This window comes from Homo sapiens, chromosome 1, assembly GCF_000001405.40.
Source record: "Homo sapiens chromosome 1, GRCh38.p14 Primary Assembly".
In the NCBI taxonomy this organism is placed as follows: Eukaryota; Metazoa; Chordata; class Mammalia; order Primates; family Hominidae; genus Homo; species Homo sapiens.
The window spans coordinates 66,797,538-66,817,638 of NC_000001.11; the positions used below are offsets into that span (position 1 = coordinate 66,797,538).

General features: G+C 36.5%; 2 protein-coding genes across 12 annotated transcripts in view; both read right to left on the reverse strand.

The window, feature by feature from the left end:
- Positions 1-202: 202 nt before the first annotated feature.
- On the reverse strand, positions 203-3,739 carry INSL5 (insulin like 5). Its single transcript, NM_005478.6, has 2 exons — positions 3,510-3,739; positions 203-708 (listed from the first exon to the last, which is right to left on the reverse strand). Exons 1-2 carry the CDS (start codon positions 3,682-3,684, stop codon positions 476-478), a joined length of 408 nt encoding a protein of 135 aa, NP_005469.2. The 5' UTR covers positions 3,685-3,739; the 3' UTR covers positions 203-475.
- An 11,608-nt stretch (positions 3,740-15,347) lies between these two features.
- The window catches only part of DNAI4 (dynein axonemal intermediate chain 4), a 111,972-nt gene continuing 107,218 nt past the window's right edge, over positions 15,348-20,101 (reverse strand). For all 11 annotated transcript variants that reach the window (XM_017002354.2, XM_047430752.1, XM_017002353.2 and 8 more), the window contains one exon: positions 15,348-16,643. In XM_017002354.2, coding sequence (XP_016857843.1) covers positions 16,593-16,643 — 51 coding nt within the window. In that variant the 3' untranslated portion in view covers positions 15,348-16,592. The remainder of the gene's footprint in view (positions 16,644-20,101) is intronic.

Genomic DNA, 20,101 nt, shown 5'->3' on the forward strand with positions numbered 1-20,101 from the left:
TACACTATGAATCAATGTTTAAGTTTTCAGTAACAATACACAGTAACCCAAACATTAAGAATGAATAGTTATTTCTGGATGATGAGATAATAGCTGATGTTTATTTTTTATGTATATTTTTAGATTTTCCCATCACCAGCATTTTCGGTTTACTGTTTAAAAGTTGTTTACAATTTTTTAAAAAGAAAACAGCACAGTGAGCTTGGTTTATAGCATTTTTATTGCAATTTTGCGCAGCATTTGAAATTTCAAAGCATTAGTAGAATTTGAAAAGAACAGTTCATTAACCTTGGCAAAGGGAGAAAATAGAGATCACTGTGGTTTCAACCGCTCAGCTATACCTTTTAGAAAAGAAGTTTTGCCTACCCAAAAGCCATCATTTTAATAACACAATATTAGTGTTCTACCAGGCAGTAAAACACTGTAATTAAACATGTGATAAAGCTCTGCCACCCATTGGGTATTTGCTCTTGTCTTAGCAAAGAGCACTCAAATCAGTCATGGAACAGCCATCAGTGCAACACAAAGTTTGTAAATCTTGTCTTGACATCACTGAATGCTTCTTTGACTTCCAAAGCTCTTCAGTGGGCATCTGTCCACCCCAAAGACGGTCTTCCCCTGAGGCATCCACCTTCGGAAGGTTTTGCGCTGGATTTTCCTCAGAAAACTCACGTTTATGTGGGAGCTGGAAGGAGTTTCCTGTCTCAGCTGTATGGAAGAGAAAAAAATAATACATCCTTAGACAGCTCCTACAAAGAAGGCAGCAACCACATTCCACTCCTGGGGAAATGAACTGGATCCCTAAAATGAAATAGAATCATACACATAATTTTTTAAAATGTTGGCCTGGTTTCAGAGAGATTAGACATTTTGGGGAGAGCACAGTCATCTCCACTGTCCTCATTTTACAGAGGCAGAAACTTGAGTGCAAAGATGAGGAGTGACAGTCAGTGTTGCTCAGCTAGTCGGGACTTGACTTCTTTTACTCGCTACCTCTGCTGGATGACCAGCAGCTTCCAATATTAGTTATGTGCTATAAACAAAAAACACATAAACAAAAAAAAACCCTGTGTATGCCCTGCAATCTCGATCAGTAAAGAAGGAAATGGAGATTTAAACCTCTATATCTGAAAATAAAAAGTGAAATTCACAGTTTTTGCCTAAGTGTTGTTTCCAAAGTTCATATATAAGCTTCTCTCACTTTAATTTAGTTCAAATTGACTTATCAATGCCTTAGCACACCAGCAGGCACCATGAAAAACTAGGTGAACAGATGCTGGTTGGTAAACCAGTAATTGATCAGATAAATAATGTGTGGGAAAACACTGAAAATCTGAGAAAGATTGAATAATAAGTAGTATGATTTCAGTGATGTCCAACAGAGCTAGCCTTATAGATATCCATTCCACTCCCCTATGTGTTTCAGAGATATCCCAAATGTATTTTTATAGTGCATTTTGGTTTGCTATTACAGAGATTGTTGTAAATCCTGGTAAATTATGCTTACTCTCTTAAGATTAAAAACCCATATAATTTTTGTTAGCAACTAGTCATATGAACTTCAATATTAAAGTGGTACTGAAAATGGAAAATACATGCTTTTTCAACACATTAGCCCACCCAAAGATGAACAGTTTAGGTCATTTTCTAAAAGGTTTTTATTACCAACATCATTTTAAATTAAACTGAAACCTTAACAATCATACATATAGTCGCAACATTTATTATGTAATCACATTTTTCCTTTTTAACTTTTTAGTATAAAACATAGCAAATACAACCAATTATTAAAATACACTCTTAAGCAAGGCACAGAAAGACAAACACCACATGATCTCACTGATATGTGGAATCTAAAAACGTCAAACTCAAAAATGTATAGCGGAGAACGATGGTTATCAGAGGGTGAGGGTGAGGGGGATGGTTGGGGAAGAGATGGTCAAGAGTACAGAATTTCCATTAGAAGGAATAATTTCAAGAAGTCTATTGTACAACATGGTGACTATAGTTAATAAAAATGCATTGTATTCCTGAAATTGCTAAAAGAGTAGATTTCAAGTGTCCTCATCACAAAAACATAAGTATGTGAGGTAATGCATATGTTAATTAGCTTGATTTAGCTATTCCACATGTATATTGTATGTATACCTATTTCAAAACAATATGTTGTACACAATAAATGTATATAATTTTTACCAATTAAAAAAATAATTTTTTAAATAGGATTTTCAGCCATGCCCAGTGGCTTATGCCTGTAATCCCAGTGCTCTGGGAGGCCGAGACGGAAGATTGCTTGAAGCCAGGAGTTTGAGACCAGCCTGGGCAACATTGCAAGACCCCACCTCTACAAAATATTTAAAAATTAGCCAGATGTGGTGGCACACACCTGTAGTCCTACCTACTCAAGAGGCTGAGGTGTGAGGATCACTTGAGTGCAGGGGTTTGAGGCTTCAGTGAGCTATGATTGTGCCAGCCTGGGTGAGAGGGCAAGACCCTGTCTCCAATCAAATAAATAAATAAATAAATAAAAATCTAAAAATAGGATTTTAAATAAATTCTACCTCATACTTTAATATGGAATTAACAGAAAGAATTTCAGTCAAATTTTTAAGTTAGTTGAATTGAATAATAAAGAAATATAGTGAAGTCAGCCGCTTCACCGTTTCTGAAAGACATTTGGTTCATTTCTTCCTTCAAAATCCTGATCAGACAATTCCTACTACTAGAATTCCCACCCTGCTTCCCCACCACCTTCCATAATCCCCAAATCCTTCAGGGCCTCTGTCAGTAACCACCACCTCCATGATGCTGTCACCTATTACAAAATAGGTGACATTTTGTAATAGGTGACATTTTGTAACATTCTCTTTCCCACCCGAGACTCAGTATGGAATTAGTAAAGACCTTGGCTCTTGAAGCCAGATAGACCCAGTTTCCTACCTAACCACATTTTCACCAGCTGGGAGAAGAATTTTCTTCTTGGTAAAATGATAAATGGTGGTAATTTTGCTTGCTTCCCAGGATCCTTATCAGAAAGCTGAATGAAATGTTGCACATGTAACTTCCCAGCACTTAAAAGTGCTCAATTAAGGTCAGCTTCTTTCCTTGCATCCATATTTAACAACTGCCGGAATTCTAACTTATTATATTGTACAATTATTCATGAGTGAAAGTCTTGCTACTTCAACACGCTCCTTGAAATCACATGCTTCGCCATAGCCTCCAAAGTACCTTCCACAGATGCTGAGCCCATTGAAGTAGTCATGCGATTAAATGATTTCAAGCAGGGGACTAAAAAATGAGGTAGTTATTTTTTGAAAGGTAGCATGCTCATCACTTTCCCAAGCCAAATTCAGTATATTTTGATAATTAATCCCTTAAATTGACATAAAAAATGCCTCAACAGTACTTAGAGAAACACTTAATAAAATAATGGTTTAAAACACAGCTTGAAAAAATAAAAGAGACATGTGAAAGGAAAATAGAGGAGACACATGAGTTACTGTTACCTTGCTGAGCTTGAGGGATCCCCTCCTGATGCCTTCTCCACCTGGAGCTAGCACAGATATAGATGACTGTCCGTATGTATTCTAGCCCACAGAGTCTCACAGACTCCTTGCTCCGCACTTCTGAGATGGCAAATAGGACAGAGAATAAAAACAGAGTGAAAATGGAGCCCTTCATTTTGCTGAGGACTGAATGTGAATCTGATATGGTAAATATAGTCAAATCAAATTCTGGAGTGACTGTCACTCTCTTGACCAATTTATACTAACTTTCCTGACATTTCATTGGTCAGAACCTCATTTTTACAATATTTGCTAAGCACATAGGGTTACACAGTAAAGTTTTGAAAATGCGGTTTTATGAGTATTGCCAGCTATTCAGTCTCTCCTTAATACCATCAACGCATCTGTGAGATGATAAAAACAGATGCCCTCTTGGAAGGCATTATGGAAAACTCACGGACTTTGAAAGTTGCCAAGAATGAGTTTCACTCTCAGCCTTGCTACTTACTGAGTGACATAAGGCAAGTTTTAAACTTTTTGAGTTGAGGCAAAGCCTGGTGGCTAACACCTGTAACCCCAGCACTTTGGGAGGCCAACACAGATGGATCACTTGAGGCAAGGAGTTCAAGACCAGCCTGGGCAACATAGTGAGACCTCCATCTCTACAAAAAATTTAAAAATTACTCAGGCACAATGGCATACTTGAGCCCAGGAGTTCAAGGTTACAATGAGCCATGACAGTGCCACTGTACTCCAGCCTGGGTGACAGTGAAACCGTGTCTCTAAAAAACAAACAAACAAACAAGTAAACAAAAAAACCTTTTGAACCTCAATAACCATATCTCTGGAATGGGAAGACCCATCTCACAGGGGTTTTTTTGAATATTGAAAGCAATATGAATGTCAGAACAATGGGATATCACACTTAAGTAGGCAATTTCTTATGTCCTGAGTTTGAATCCTGGCCGTTGCTGTTGCCTGGCTGTTACTTACCAGATCTAGACTCTTAAGCAAGTTTTTAAGGCATCCTTCTTTGTAAAATAGTGTTGATGATTGTAACTACCTCATAGGTCTAATGTGATAACATGCGTCCCACTTGGTACAATAAACAGCTAATAGGCCAGGCGCAGTGGCTCACGCCTGTAATCCCAGCACTTTGGGAGGCCGAGGCAGGTGGATCACGAGGTCAGGAGATCGAGATCATCCTGGCTAACACGGTGAAACCCTGTCTCTACTAAAAATACAAAACATTAGCCAGGCGTGGTGGTGGGCACCCGTAGTCCCAGACACTCAGGAGGCTGAGGCAGGAGAATGGCATGAACCCGGGAGGTGGAGCTTGCAGTGAGCTGAGATCACGCCACTGCCCTCCAACCTGGGCGACAGAGCGAGACTCTGTCTCAAAACAAAAACAAACAAACAAACAAACAAACAAAAACAAAAAAAAACAGCTACTAATTATTAGCTGCTTCTCCTCTCACCATCAGAATAGAAGACTAGAAAAGATAACTTCAGAATTCAGAAGATTTTATCTGACTAGGATCTTGTTATCCTTCACCTATGACCTAGGTACACTTTTCTCAACACACGTATTTATGATAATAGAAAGCTAAGTCCATATCCCAAATAGCTAAATAATGAAATTTCTCTTTTGGTAAAACCTCTGAAAGCACTAGCTCTTGCAAAGGTCTTACCTAAACTGAGAATCCCAGAGTTTGGGATCTTAAAGAACTGTTGACTCAGGTTTTAGCAAGTTGAACAAATAATGGTTCAGTTGATTCTGTGAAATCCTTGTCTGTGATTCCTGGTTGGAAAAAAATTGCTAAGTCTGTGGCCATGATCATATCATTTGTACTTCTTGTGAAATCACTGTTCTTCTGTAGGGAAGCTGGAAAATACAACAAAATAATCTGTTATCTAATTGAAAGCATTCTTTGCTGTAAAAAATAAAAATTATTTCTAAGAGTCTTGCTTTCTCCATTTCTTTGGCTGTAGTGTGAAGAATGGATTAAGAAAGGCAAGACTTGAGAAAGGAAAAACAGAAAAAGGCTGTTTCAATAATTTAGATATGATGGTGGCCTAAACTAAGGCCATGGAAGAGAGATAGGACACATGTGTATTCAAAATATAGAAGGGCTTGGTACTGACTGGGTATCAGGGGCAATGGAGAGAAAGATGTCAAATATGATACCTCGATTTCTGGCTTGTTCAACTGGGAGGTAGGGCGGTCATTTGCTAAGAAAGGGACCAAAGAAGCAGAAATGGTTCTGTCATCAGAGAAAGCTACTCCATCTTTGGATGGGTCAAAATCAGCATCTTTCATCAACTCCAGAGGGACGTCTGTATTACCATGCTTAGCACATCCACAACATAACAGCTATTGAGCCATGTATTACCAAACTTCTTCCCTTCTTTGGAGATTTATAGTGCATATCTTGACAATGCCAGTTTTAACATAGCACTGCAGTAGATCTATCATCAGTGGCTATGGATTGGGCTTCTGCACAACCCCAGGGATATTCAGCCAAGGGACGATCCCTACCTTGGATGTCAGATGGACTCTGGCATGATCCTGCTATCACCACACTTGATGCCCCTAGGTGCAAAGTAGTCCCCTCTTCTACCAGCTCTTAATACCTCATTAGGGCTCATTTAGTTTGGGATGGAAGGCTGGCAATACTTGAGCTCATTCTGTGACCTAATGGAGGCAAGTTAGACAGCCAAGTAGCTACCCAGATGAAAAAGCTCATGACAATAATAAAAGCCCTAGATGTGAAGCCTGAAATTTTGGGGCTTATTTTCCCCATTTGTATATTGAGAGGGTTGGATTTAATTGTTAAAAGTCTTCTCTGCACTTGAAATTATCAGTCTTGCTATAATTGTCTGATTATGTTACTCCCACCTCACAAACCTTCAGTGGCTCACCATTACCTCCAGAAGACAATCCAAACAATATCACATTTAATGCTTTCCACTCAGGTACCCAAACATCACTTTTTTCACATACCTCAAGGTCCATGAAAGGCTAACCAACTGAAAAGGAATCTTTCCATCTTTTGAGTAACCACAGTTTCTTTTTTGCACCTCTCACAGGAGCACTTAATCCCTTTCATTTGGAGATGGACGTGATTTTTCTTCCTCATTCTGGTCTGTAACTCAGTTTACTATCTATGTGGCAATTATTATGTGTCTTATTTCAGGTTTCCTTCGGATAGCTCTAACAAAATACCAGAGACTGGGTAGCTTATAACAACAGAAATTTATTTCTCACGGTTCTGGAGCCTGGGAAGTCCAAGATGAAGGTGACAGCATGGTCCGGATTCTAGGACCTCTCTCTGTGTCCTTTCACAGAAGATGGGGCAAGCTGGCTCTCTGGGGTCTCTAAGGTCATCAATCCCATTCATGAGGGTCCTGCCTTCATGACCTATTCACCTCCCAAAGACCCCATCTCCTAATTTCATCACCTTGGGGGTTAGGATTTCAACATAGGAGACACAATATGTAATTTTCCGCTCTGAGTTTTAATTTCTCCATCTATGAGGAGATAATAATCTGTGTTTTATAATGTTATTGTGAAGCAAAATGAGTTAACACAAGTACAGCACCTAGAATAATATATAATTCAATAAATAATAAATTAACAATGTCATGAACAAGGGATTAGAAAATATTATTTTTGGTTGGGACTAGCTACTATGGATGACTCTTCTGTATAACTCTTAATCTCAAAACCATCCATAAATTTGCACTGCTGTCGTCTTTTTCTTTCCTCCCTTCCTTCATCCTTTCCTTGCCTTCTTCTTTCCTTTCATCCTTCCACAAACAAGTTCTAATAAAGAAAGGTCTTATGGTACTGTTTCTTAAAGTGTTTTCTTCAGAACATGAGTCTTTGCAGATGGTCTTTGAATATTTTTTAAAAAGGATTCCATGATAGTAGTCTCTTTCTTTGAGATTAATAATGCCTACTAATATAGTAGAGCCCAGAGAAGACTTATAGTTATGAAATTTCTTTAACTTTGTTTAATTCAATGTTTTCACAACTTATTTGATGTTGGAAATAACTCCATTGTGAAATTGATTAACATCTGGGATTGCTGTGAATTTCTAGAGTAGACGTATCTCTAGTTCTCCTCTGTCCTGACACATGGTAGGGTTGTATTTCTCTGCTCTTTAAAATTGGGCAACACCATGTGGCATATTTTGGCAAATAAAATGTGAGTGGATGTGACATATGTCACTTCTGCCTGAAATTTAAGGATCGGTGTATGATCCTCCAGTTCTCCCTCTTCCTGGCTGTGGTTACCAACAACATTCCTGATGTGGGAACCTAATCACTGAGTCAGAACAATATGGAGCATAACTGCCCACTGATCTGTAATGAATATGTAATATGAATGGAAAAGAAACCAGCCCTCAGAAATAATGCCGCATATCTACAACTATCTGATCTTTGACAAACCTGAGAAAAACAAGCAATGGGGAAAGGATTCCCTATTTAATAAATGGTGCTGGGAAAACTGGCTAGCCATATGTAGAAAGCTGAAACTGGATCCCTTCCTTACACCTTATACAAAAATCAATTCAAGATGGATTAAAGACTTAAACGTTAGACCTAAAACCATAAAAACCCTAGAAGAAAACCTAGGCATTACCATTCAGGACATAGGCATGGGCAAGGACTTCATGTCTAAAACACCAAAAGCAATGGCAACTAAAGACAAAATTGACAAATGGGATCTAATTAAACTAAAGAGCTTCTGCACAGCAAAAGAAACTACCATCAGAGTGAACAGGCAACCTACAAAATGGGAGAAAATTTTCACAACCTACTCATCTGACAAAGGGCTAATATCCGGAATCTACAATGAACTCAAACAAATTTACAAGAAAAAAAACAAACAACCCCATCAAAAAGTGGGTGAAGGACATGAACAGACACTTCTCAAAAGAAGACATTTATGCAGCCAAAAAACACATGAAAAAATGCTCATCATCACTGGCCATCAGAGAAATGCAAATCAAAATCACAATGAGATACCATCTCACACCAGTTAGAATGGCAATCATTAAAAAGTCAGGAAACAACAGGTGCTGGAGAGGATGTGGAGAAATAGGAACACTTTTACACTGTTGGTGGGACTGTAAACTAGTTCAACCATTGTAGAAGTCAGTGTGGCAATTCCTCAGGGATCTAGAACTAGAAATACCATTTGACCCAGCCATCCCATTACTGGGTATATACCCAAAGGACTATAAGTCATGCTGCTATAAAGACACATGCACACGTATGTTTACTGCAGCATTATTCACAATAGCAAAGACTTGGAACCAACCCAAATGTCCAACAATGATAGACTGGATTAAGAAAATGTGGCACATATACACCATGGAATACTATGCAGCCATAAAAAATGATGAGTTCATGTCCTTTGTAGGGACATGGATGAAATTGGAAATCATCATTCTCAGTAAACTATCGCAAGAACAAAAAACCAAACACCGCATATTGTCACTCGTAGGTGGGAACTGAACAATGAGAACACATGGACACAGGAAGGGGAACATCACACTCTGGGGACTGTTGTGGGGTGGGGGGAGGGGGGAGGGATAGCATTGGGAGATATACCTAATGCTAGATGACGAGTTGGTGGGTGCAGCGCACCAGCATGGCACATGTATACATATGTAACTAACCTGCACAATGTGCACATGTACCCTAAAACTTAAAGTATAATAATAATAATAAAAAAAAGAAAAAAAAAGAAACCTTTATCATTTGAAGTCACTGAGATTTGGAGATTGCTCGCTATAACAACATAACCTGGCTTATCCTGACTATTATAATTATCTTACAGTTATTTACATGTTACAGATGGAGAGAACGTTTATAATGATTCAAGTTTCTAGATCAAAGCAAAATAAGTTATTTGGCCTTAACAACTGGAATAAATTACCACATTTTCAATATGATTGATTATATGAAGGCCTACCATTAATGTGTACCAAAACCCAAATTAACAACCAAACAATGAATTCAGTAAATATATCACTCACTTATTTACCATTTATAAAGGAACTATGACGACAGTATACTTAACAGATGGTGTTTGGAATAGGTTGGCATGAGTTGTATATACTGTTTGTGGCATTGGATTTTGGAAATCAGATATCAGTTCTTCCATTTAATATTTATGTGACCTTAATACTTTAGATTTTAAGACATACTTAAAATCTCTGAATCTCAGTTTCTTCATTTGTAAAATAGAGATAATAATACAAACTTTATTAGGCTAATTGTAAGGATTAAATGATCCAAAGAGTGCTGATCAGAGTCTCTAGCACAAGGAAACTTTCAATAGACTGATCATTGATGGAAATTATAATGGTGGGAATGCCACCAAATAGAACCTTGGTATTAGAATGTTAAACTTTTAGGATTGCTACTCTAGTTCCCAGCTAAGAGACCTTGAGGATGTATTTAACCTGTAATTTGGTTTTCTGATTTGTTACATTGAAAAATATCACAGGATCAATTGCGGTAATGTTAATTATAGCTCTGATAAATTATAAAGCATATCACATATAATTATTTGATGATAATTATGATTATGATATCACTATATATAAATTCATTAGCAAATACTAATTTATTTTTGTTATTTTCTGACACAGATAGTAGCTGCTCATCGTTGGCTAATACTTATTTTTAATGCTTCTAGACAGAGTCTTCATTAAGATGCGACGATTCTTCCAGCTTTTCCTAGAAGTCATTCACAACTCCTCATTTTCTCTCACACTCCATTGACTAAACCTTTTCCATACACAAACATCCACTAAATCACCAAGTCTCTTTGGTTCTACCTTCTAAATTTCTCTATGATCCACCCACTGCTCTCTATCCCCTCTACCATGACCTCAGGTTTCATTGGCATTGCTGCAATGGCCTCTCAGTTGGCCCTGTCATCAATCCATTTTCCATACTGCTGCCAGAATGATCTTTCTGAAACTCATGATTATCACCCATCTCTAAAACCCCCCAACAGTTTCCCTGAAGAAAATTTCCAAATTTCTCTAATATGGCCTGCAAGACATTTCATGATTTGGCCTCTCTCTACTTGTTCAGGTTTTAGATATCCTCGAACTCTAAATGGTCCAGTTATATCAAATGCCTTACAGATATTGAAGTTCCATATTCTCTTTTTCCCCATCTGAAACTCCTTTCCCTTGACTTTTTAACTCTGGTTAACTTATGAAGAATGTGTGTGGAAGGGATACTGAAATAACATTATCTAGAAAAGTTTTTGCATGATTTTATAGATTAAACTTTTTTACCACTCATTACAGTGATGTTTTTAATTCCCTATCAGTAAGGATTAAAATGACCAGCTGACATACAACTTAATAGCAATAATAATAATAACCTGAATAAAAAATAGGCAAAGGACCTGAATAGACATTTTTTTCAAAGAAAGCATAAAATAGCCAACAGGTATATGAAATGTTGAACATCACTAATCATCAGGAAAATGCAAATCAATACCAAAATATTACCTCACACTTATTAGGATGGCTATTATCAAAAAGAGAAGAGACTAATGTTGGTAAGGATATAGATAAAAGGGAACCCTTGCACACAGTTGATAGAAATGTAAACTGGTACAGCTAATATGGAAAATAGTATAGAGAGTCCTCAAAAATTTAAAAACAGAACTACTATGCAATCCAGCAATTCTACTTATGGGTATATACCCAAAAGAAATAAAATCAGTATGTCGAAGAGATATCTGCACTCCCATGTTCATTAACACATTATTCACAATAGCCAAGATATGGAATCAACCTAAATGTCCACTGGTGGATGAATGGATGAAGAAAATGTGATACACACAGACACAGATAAATATTATTCAGCCATAAGAAAAGGAGGATATTCTGCCACTTCTGACAGCATGGATAAATCTGGAGGACATTGTGCTAAGTTAAAGAAGTCAGACACAGAGAGACAAACACTGTATTATCTCACATATGTGGAATCTTTTTTAAAAAGTCAAATTTATAAAAGTGTAGGGTAGAACAGTGGTTGCAAGGGACTGGAAGATGGTGGAAATGGGGAGATGGTCAAAGGGTGAAAACTTTCACTTAGAAGATGAATAGGTTCTAGGGATCTAATATGCAGTATGATGACTATAGTTAATACTGTATTGTTTACTTGAAATTTACAAAGAGATCAGATTTTAAGTGTTCTCACCACACACACACACACACACATACACGCATACATGCACAAAAAGGTAACTAAGGGTGATGATGGATGTTAATTTAATTGTGGTAATCATTTCACAATGTACAATTGGAATATATACAATTTTTATTTGTAAATTAATTATACTTTAAATAAAGCTGGGAGAAAATCCAAAACAAATACACCTAAAATAAAATAAAATGAGCAACTAAAAATGTTTTTTAAAAATGTATCTTAAAAATAATAATTTATATTTAAAGCTTTATTTTGTATGAACAGAGCAGCAGCTTTCTTATGTTTTTGTTGTCATTTTAGGCTTTTAGAAATAAAGACTCAATAAATAATTGGAAAATTCAATAAAATTATTATCAGTGAGTTCTGATTTAAAACCGCCAGAACATCCTGGAATCCTCTGTTCTCCTAGTATAATGGCACCATGTCTTTTAATAGTTGACTTATTTGAGGAAAATACAGACATGGTGAAAGTACATTTTTCATTAGTTGTTCTGGATGTTGCATAAATGTCTCACCCATTTAGAAAATGCAGTGTTCCTTTTTTGTAAGATTCATAACAATGTTTTATATGTTCCAAGTTAAGGGATACATTATGCTTTCTATTTAACCCAGGAATTCATTTAATGTAAACTGTCAGCCTTTTAGTTTTATCACTAAATGGATATGTCAACCTAAAGAAATGAAGACTAATAGCCTAGTAAATGTTCTATGGATTTGAGGGTGGATTTGACATTGTACAAAATCCTAAACAAACAAGAAAAAAAAGCCTAAATATTGTGTGAAGGAACAAATGAGGTCATCAACATAGTCTGCAGGAGGAGTGGAGCCTTGGCAAAGACTCAGTCAACCACAAAGGGCAAAGAGGTTCTCAGACCAGGACATGGGGATGTGGTTCTGGAATAATCAGAATGAGAGCTGCCGTTTTTGAGTGCCTATCATGTACCAGGCATTTTGCTAGTGCTTTTACATCAGAGATAAATTGTTCCCCAAATGGCTGGCAGGAACACAGCCTTACAAAGTAGCAGCAATACTCGCTCTTTAAAAGAAAGGGATCATAGGTTAGTTTTTGTCTTAAAGGGAAAAACTGATTTTATATTGCTGTAGAACCAAAGACAACTACGACTGTGTTAACCAACTTTCCAGGCTGATTTTATGTTTTATATGTTTTCCACACTTAAAATGTTTTCTTTTCCTTCTGTGATGGTCAAGATATTTTGTTAGGATTTTTAGAAAATTTAATTTAAAATATTATGCCATCTTGTGATAAAGGGCAAGCATGAACCTATCATTTCCCCATTAATTTGATAATTCATTTATTCAATAAATACTTGTTGCATTACTACTCTGTGAGCCACTGCTCTAGGTGTTGTAAATATAGTGCAGTGAGTGAAACACATAGTTCCTACCCTCAAGGAACTTACAGTCTAGGAAAGAGACAGGCACTAAGCAAATTATTGTACAAATAAACATTTAGCACAGCTGGTACAAATCTTCATTTAGAAACTCAGTTATCCAAGAAATATATTTGCTAGAATTCTGTTCAATTTTTGACTCCAAGTTTCCATACCACTCAGCTGGCAGAAATAAACAACATCCAAACAAGTTGATGTCAGTCCAACTTGGGCTTGGTTTCCTTCCTCTTCCCTGGACATAACTAGAGCATCTTACTCTGGTGTGCCAAGGCCCTTCTGTCATCAAAGAGTTGGTGCCTCCTCAGTTGTCTGGCTTCTTCGGTTCTAGTGGTTCTTTGCTGCTGCTGTTGCACATCACTCATGGCATAAGGAATAGTTTTCAGAGTTCCTGTGGTCCCTCACGGGTCTTACTACTTCCTGGACAATGGTTTTTAGAAGTAGGGCATGGATCTTCTCTGCTCTAAGGATCCACAGGCCTCCCTCTTTTTCTCATCCCCCTACCCTTTCCATCCCTGAGGAAACTTCACATTTCTCTTTATGTTTAAGATACTTGGTCTATGTCTCAAATACCTTTTCTAAGTCCTATGCTTTTATAGAAGAAAAATGGATGTATTTGATTTACTGTCGTTTTATATGTCTCCTTCAACTTATAAACATAGAGCTACTAACTTGAGAAGGGAAAGGTAATGAAGAAAAATAAGGATTAAAAATATATCTCTTAATATTATCCCTCAATAATTTCTGAAATAATGCTATAAGGGAAATCCACGGTGACTTGAGAACAGTTAACAAAGGAACCAAATTTAATTTGATTGGGTGGTAGGTCCTATGAGAGGGAGCTTAGAGAGGGTTCTTCTGAGGAGATGAGATAGGAACTGGGATCTGAAAGCCATGTAGAGTTAATGTTTTGAAGGAGAGTGAGGAGTGGGGAGGAGGGTGTTCTCAACAGAAAGGATACACGTGCCAAGGCCTCTCAGCAGGAGAACATGGAAAAAAAAAACAAATCTACAAGCATTATCATTTATGGATAAAATCTTAATTATAGATTATACGCACTTGCATTTTGGTGTATGAGGCCTCAGCAAACTATATAAGGCATCAACCATTTATTATGCCAAAATGGAAAGTGTATAAGAACTGGTCAGAGCTTTGGACTTGAGTTCAAGCTTGACCAGTTATAAGTTGTATGGTCTATGGCATATTGTATCACCTCTTCAAGGCTTAATTATAACATCTGGAAAATAGAGATTATGATAATATTACAACTACATGCCCCATTAGTCTCATAGGATTGCTGTGATGATATATTGGGAAAATGGATGTGAAAGTGTTTGGCAAACGGTAAAGAACTTTCATGTGCATAATTAGTATGTTAATAACTAAATCTATTCAGAGTAAAATTCAATATTTTCTTTTAAAGAGACTCCTCCTGAGATAAAATGGCAAATACTAAGTGTTCCATTTTCTCACTTATAATTATATGTAACTACATAGAGGTGAACCAAGTGAACACACTAAATATGATACACAATTATATAGTAGTGAATACAATCTTCCTTTTCTGCCTCAACTGGAAGAGCAGCTAACAATTTACTATCAGACAACAATAATGTAAGTTCTAGATGAAAGATGCCTGGTAGAAAATGACCAAATGAAGTAATGAATACCTAGCACAAAATAGAAGCCTAAAGTTAGCACAGTCACCACTCTCTCCTTAGATCCCTAACCAGCACACTAGGGTGTGTGTGTGTGTGTGTCTGTGTGTGTGTGTGTGTGTGTGTGTGTGTGTGTGTGTGTGTGTTTAAGGATAACATAAGATGGCTAATGGCAGGACAGAATTCTTACCCAATTCTTAAAAATGTGTGGTAAACAGAGTTTACTAGTAAAGATTCAAAGCCAGTCTATAAAGCAAGCAAAATAATTCCTTCTGAAGTCCCCAGGAGGAAAGATCTTAGACTAAAAATTTGATGCTAACCTATTAAGTATGGGAAAATCACTTAAGGCTGCAGAAGCAGGGATGAGAAGGGTAGAATAAAATAGGTTCAGTGCTTTAGGATCAGTTTCCCAGGATCCAAAAAAAATAGCTTTATTTTATACGCAGGCTTGAAGAACAATGGGGAAAATATGTGAATAATTTGTAAAGATCAAAAGTACATAATAAAAAGGAACACATTTTTTCAGTTAGATCAAGTTTTTTATTTTCTTACACAAGGTGTTATAGAAAATCCAATCTTTCAGAAAGACAAAAACAAAGATAATCACAATGACATACCAGTGGAAAATTTATAATCCTAATAACCTGACCTAGGCTCTAAATCCATGTAAAATTTGCCTTGCTTTTGTTTAAGGGATTGGTCCAAACAAATGGAGTTTATGAAGCAATGGATACTTGTAAAAGGTAGTTCCCACTGTTGCACTGATTCCAGTCTTGGTTTTTAATATATACATATTTTTTTTCCAGAGAGTTTAGTGAATTTCATATGCCCTATCGTCTCCTCTCCACTTAGAATGCTTTATAGAACAGCCCATCATGTCCTGTGGCCTCAGTTTAACCCAGGATTTGTTAAAACAAACTGCATAGAATGGCCTGTTAGCAATGAATATTTGGAGGAGTCACTGCTCCCCATCTCCACCCCGATTTCCGCAACCTTGCTCTAGAACTCTTCATAAAATAACATCCTGATGTGGCCTATAGATCAGAGACTTTATATTTTCTATCTGGGTCCACTGAAGTCTGGGCTTAAAATCCAGAGCTGATTCTGGGCAAACAGAGAAGAGTACCCTGTTGTGTCCCAGATGAATTTTTCTCACTGAATTGGGAATGTGATAAGCGCTGGTCAAACCATAAAATTCTGATATTTACTGTCATATATTTTGCTTGCCAAATAGTCTAACAAAGTTCTATAGCTTCGGCTCTTAGATCTAAGAGGATAAAATGTTAGGTACAAGAATCCATTATTTTCATCTACTAAAAACTACGTAATTATAAACTCTGGAAAACAGAGCCTGGAAAGCAGAAGCTTTAAAATCAATAGAATTGTGTCTTATAAAGATTTTGGTTTAAGTGATTCTATTAATTTCCAAGTTTCGCTTCTATAGGTATAATAATTTTCTAACCCATTTAGACATTGTATAAGAATGTACATGTACTCATATGTACTTAGAATATGATCAAGAGAGTAGGAATATCTTTAGAAAAATTAAGAAAATTCCACTGAAACTCTTAAGAATAACTCTTAGATTGTAAACTAATCAAATATCTCTGAAATAAAAGTTTATTAAATTTAAATTAAGTGGAAGTTATACATCAAATATTGTTTTCTGAAATCAAAATCTGGTGTACAGTATGTAATACAGAATATTGGATGTTAATTCCTTTTTTAAAACAACTACAAGAAAAATATTAGGAATGATGAATTATGCTGATTGGTTTGACTTGGATCCAAGCAAAGTATCCATTATATCTCCCTGAAAAAAAAAAGTCACACAATTACAATGCAATAAAATGCAAATTAAAAGGTAAAGTAGTCTTTAAAATGCCATTTAAAATTTATAAGTTAGTGATACACATATCCAATAAGATTGTAAAAGGGAAACAAGCAAAGGTAAGTTTAAACAGTAATGGTTATTTCCTAGTATAAACCTACTCTTTCCATGAAAGGCTCTTTTTTTTTTGAGACAGAGTCTTGCTCTGTCGCCAGGCTGGAGTGCAGTGGTGCAATCTCGGCTCACTGTAACCTCCGCCTCCTGGGTTCAAGCAATTCTCCTGCCTCAGCCTCCTGAGTGGCTGGGACTACAGGCACGTGCCACCACGCCCAGCTAATTTTTTGTATTTTTAGTAGAGATACGGTTTCACTGTGTTAGCTAGGATGGTCTCGATCTCCTGACCTCATGATTCGCCCACCTTGGCCTCCCAAAGTGCTGGGATTACATGCGTGAGCCACCGCGCCTGGCCAAAAGACTCTTTTAATGAATTCCGATAAACGATTTTATAAAGATTCAGTAAGAAGAAAATTTTGGCAGCTCCTATTTAACCTTAATGCTTAAGCCTAAACTTTCTTATTTATAAAATACCTGTTAAACTTACTGATATCTTAAATTCTTTCCTGATCTATTAATGTTTGACTTAGAGAGTAGAACTTCTCAATTTCCATGTGGGTTTTGTTATTTTTCATTTAATGGTACTGATATTTGCACTAAAATGGGTAAAATGATCATATATAAGAGGATGAAAATCAAAGATGGGAGGTGAGTTTTTAAGCAAGACAGTATAGTGAAAAGATAGGAGCTGGAAGCAGAAGAGTTTCTCTATCACATAGTAAATGTAATCTTGAGAAAATCATTGAAATCTTTAGATAATGTGACATAAGTCAGTTCCTATTTTTTAGCCTGTACTATGCTATCTTTGGCACTTCCCCATCATTCAAGCCATGCACACCAAATCAGTTGCCAGGTCCATCAATTCTAACCTTAATATGTTTCTCAAACTCATCTCTTTCTACTTCAGTTTCTCACTTGGGCAAATGTAAGAGGTCACTATAAAAATTTGTTCAATGTTGTATCCTTAGACCGTGTCACATAGTAAATATTCAGTAAATACTAATACTTGTTGAAATTTGTTCAATGTTGTATCCTGAGACCCCGTCACATAGTAAATACTCAGTAAATATTAATACTTGTTGAATAATAAATCAATGGTTTATTTTTTCTGCCTTCAGTGTCTATCAGCATTAATTTCTTACATATATTACAGATTCGTGTTTCTAAAACTCTTTTTTGAATATTTCAGTTATCTTTTTATTTTTCCTTCAATTTGGAAAAATGTAAACAGCAAGAACACAGAGAAAAACATGGTAAACATTTGTATAATGAACCATAATAGTAAAAATAGTATCCAGGAGTGATTCTCTACAGGCTGCCTGCAGAAAAGGAGTTGCTTCTGTAACTCTCCATTGAAACTGACTTCTCCCAAGGGCTTAAACCATAATTCTCTACAGCTCAAGACATAGACCACCAGCAATCCTCATCATGCCAGTAGAAGAGCTGGTGCCTCCCCAGTCATGAATGTTAATGCAGTGGTAACTCCTGCCAACAGTTAGCTACATCATAAAGTTACAATTGGAAGCCTTGGATCCCAGTCTCCTGTTCATGCCAGACGTTAGGCTGGTGTTACCCCTAACCATGAACCCTAAGCTGGTAGGACAGGGCTGGAGCCAACCTTTGGCCATATCCTACCACAAAAGTATTCTGGTCCTTGCTGTCATCGGGAAGGGGCCAGAGTTTCAGAAATCATGTCACTTAATACCTCCAGAGGGCCAGGCATGGTGGCTCACACCTGTAACACCAGTGCTTTGGAAGGCCAAGATATGAAGATTACTTGAGGCCAGGGGTTTATGACCAGCCCGGGCAACATTAACAAGTCCCTGTCTGTACAAAAAATTAAAATAAATTTTAAAGATTAAAAGTTAAAAAAATTAAAAGTAGCAATTAGAAAAAGTGATACTAACCAGAGTCCTGAAAGGCACTGATAAAAGATAGTTTCCTTTGTATACCTCCTAATACTGTTCTTCCCTTTCCCTCACGTCCCGGGGGCAGCCTTTATCATAAATTTGGTGCACATCTTTCATATAGAATGAAATCATAAGGCTTCCAAAATTTTGATTCACTCTTGGTTAAAATTAATGAAAAAATTATAGGTCATAATGTTACTTGACAAGATATCTTGGTAGGAAATAATGTTTTTGACATTACTTTGAAACTTCAAATTATTATTATGACTATAATTCTCCATAAGCGAAGAAAGAAAAGGTATATCATTAACATTTGGCTGTAAGTAACAAAAAAACTAATTAATGGTTTTTTGTTGTTGTTTAATCTCCCAAAAAATATAACCCTAAGCCTTTCAAATATAGTGACCAAAAACATGAAAAACATATTTGTATCCAAAAATTATATTTATTTACTAACAATATGAAATTGATTTGTTAAGAAAATTATTCTTACCAGCCTTGAAATCACACACACACACACACACACACACACACACACACACACACACACACAGGTTTGCCAAAAATGTTCAGATTCTCTAAGCTTAGCTTTCTGCTTGTAGAGCATACTGTTCAAATTAAAAGATTGCATAACCAATTCAAATCCAAACACAAAAATTAAGTATTTTTCTTCTATATTCCAGTCTATATTTTATACTTTTACCAACTATAAATGTGTCTACTAAAAATATGTTTTTATTTTTGTGTTTAAATAATACTTACATATATTATAACATATTGTACTTACTTTGTGGAAATTTGCTTTTATCACTCAACACTGTTTTTTAAATGTATTCAAAATTTGTCATATTAACACATTAAGATATAGGTCATTTAAATCTCTGTACTGTAATTACACATGTGAAAATGTCATATTTTATCTATCCAGTCTTCCACTGATCATCATTTGGGTTGTTTTCAATTTGTCAGTATACAAACAAGGCTACTATAAACATTGTTTTCTCATTAGCATGTTTTTCACACCATTACCCATGAGTTGAACAAAGCCCTAAAGATGTACAGAATCTGGGCTAGGCCTGGTGGCTCATGCCTGTAATCCCAGCACTTGAGGACGCTTAGGTGGGCAAATCACTTGAGTCCAGGAGTTCGAGATGAGTCTGGATAACACGGCAAAACCCCATCTCTACAAAATATACAAAAATTAGTTGGGCATTATGGTATGCACCTGTAGTCCCAGCTACTTGGGAGGCTGAGGTGGGACAATTGCTTGATCCCAAGAGTTTGAGGCTGCAGTGAGCCAAGATCAGGCCACTACACTCCAGCCTAGGCAAAAGAGTGAGACCTTTTCTAAAAGAAAAAAAGAAAAAAAAAAACGGATAGAATCTCATCTAATCAGATGGCATTTAAACATCTACA

Coding starts and splice junctions, on each gene's coding strand:
- INSL5 (NM_005478.6), bottom strand. CDS start 3,684: ATGAAGGGCTCCATTTTCACTCTGTTTTTATTCTCTGTCCTATTTGCC. Junction 709..3,509: donor GATCCCTCAAGCTCAGCAAG/GTAACAGTAACT, acceptor TCTTCCATACAG/CTGAGACAGGAAACTCCTTC.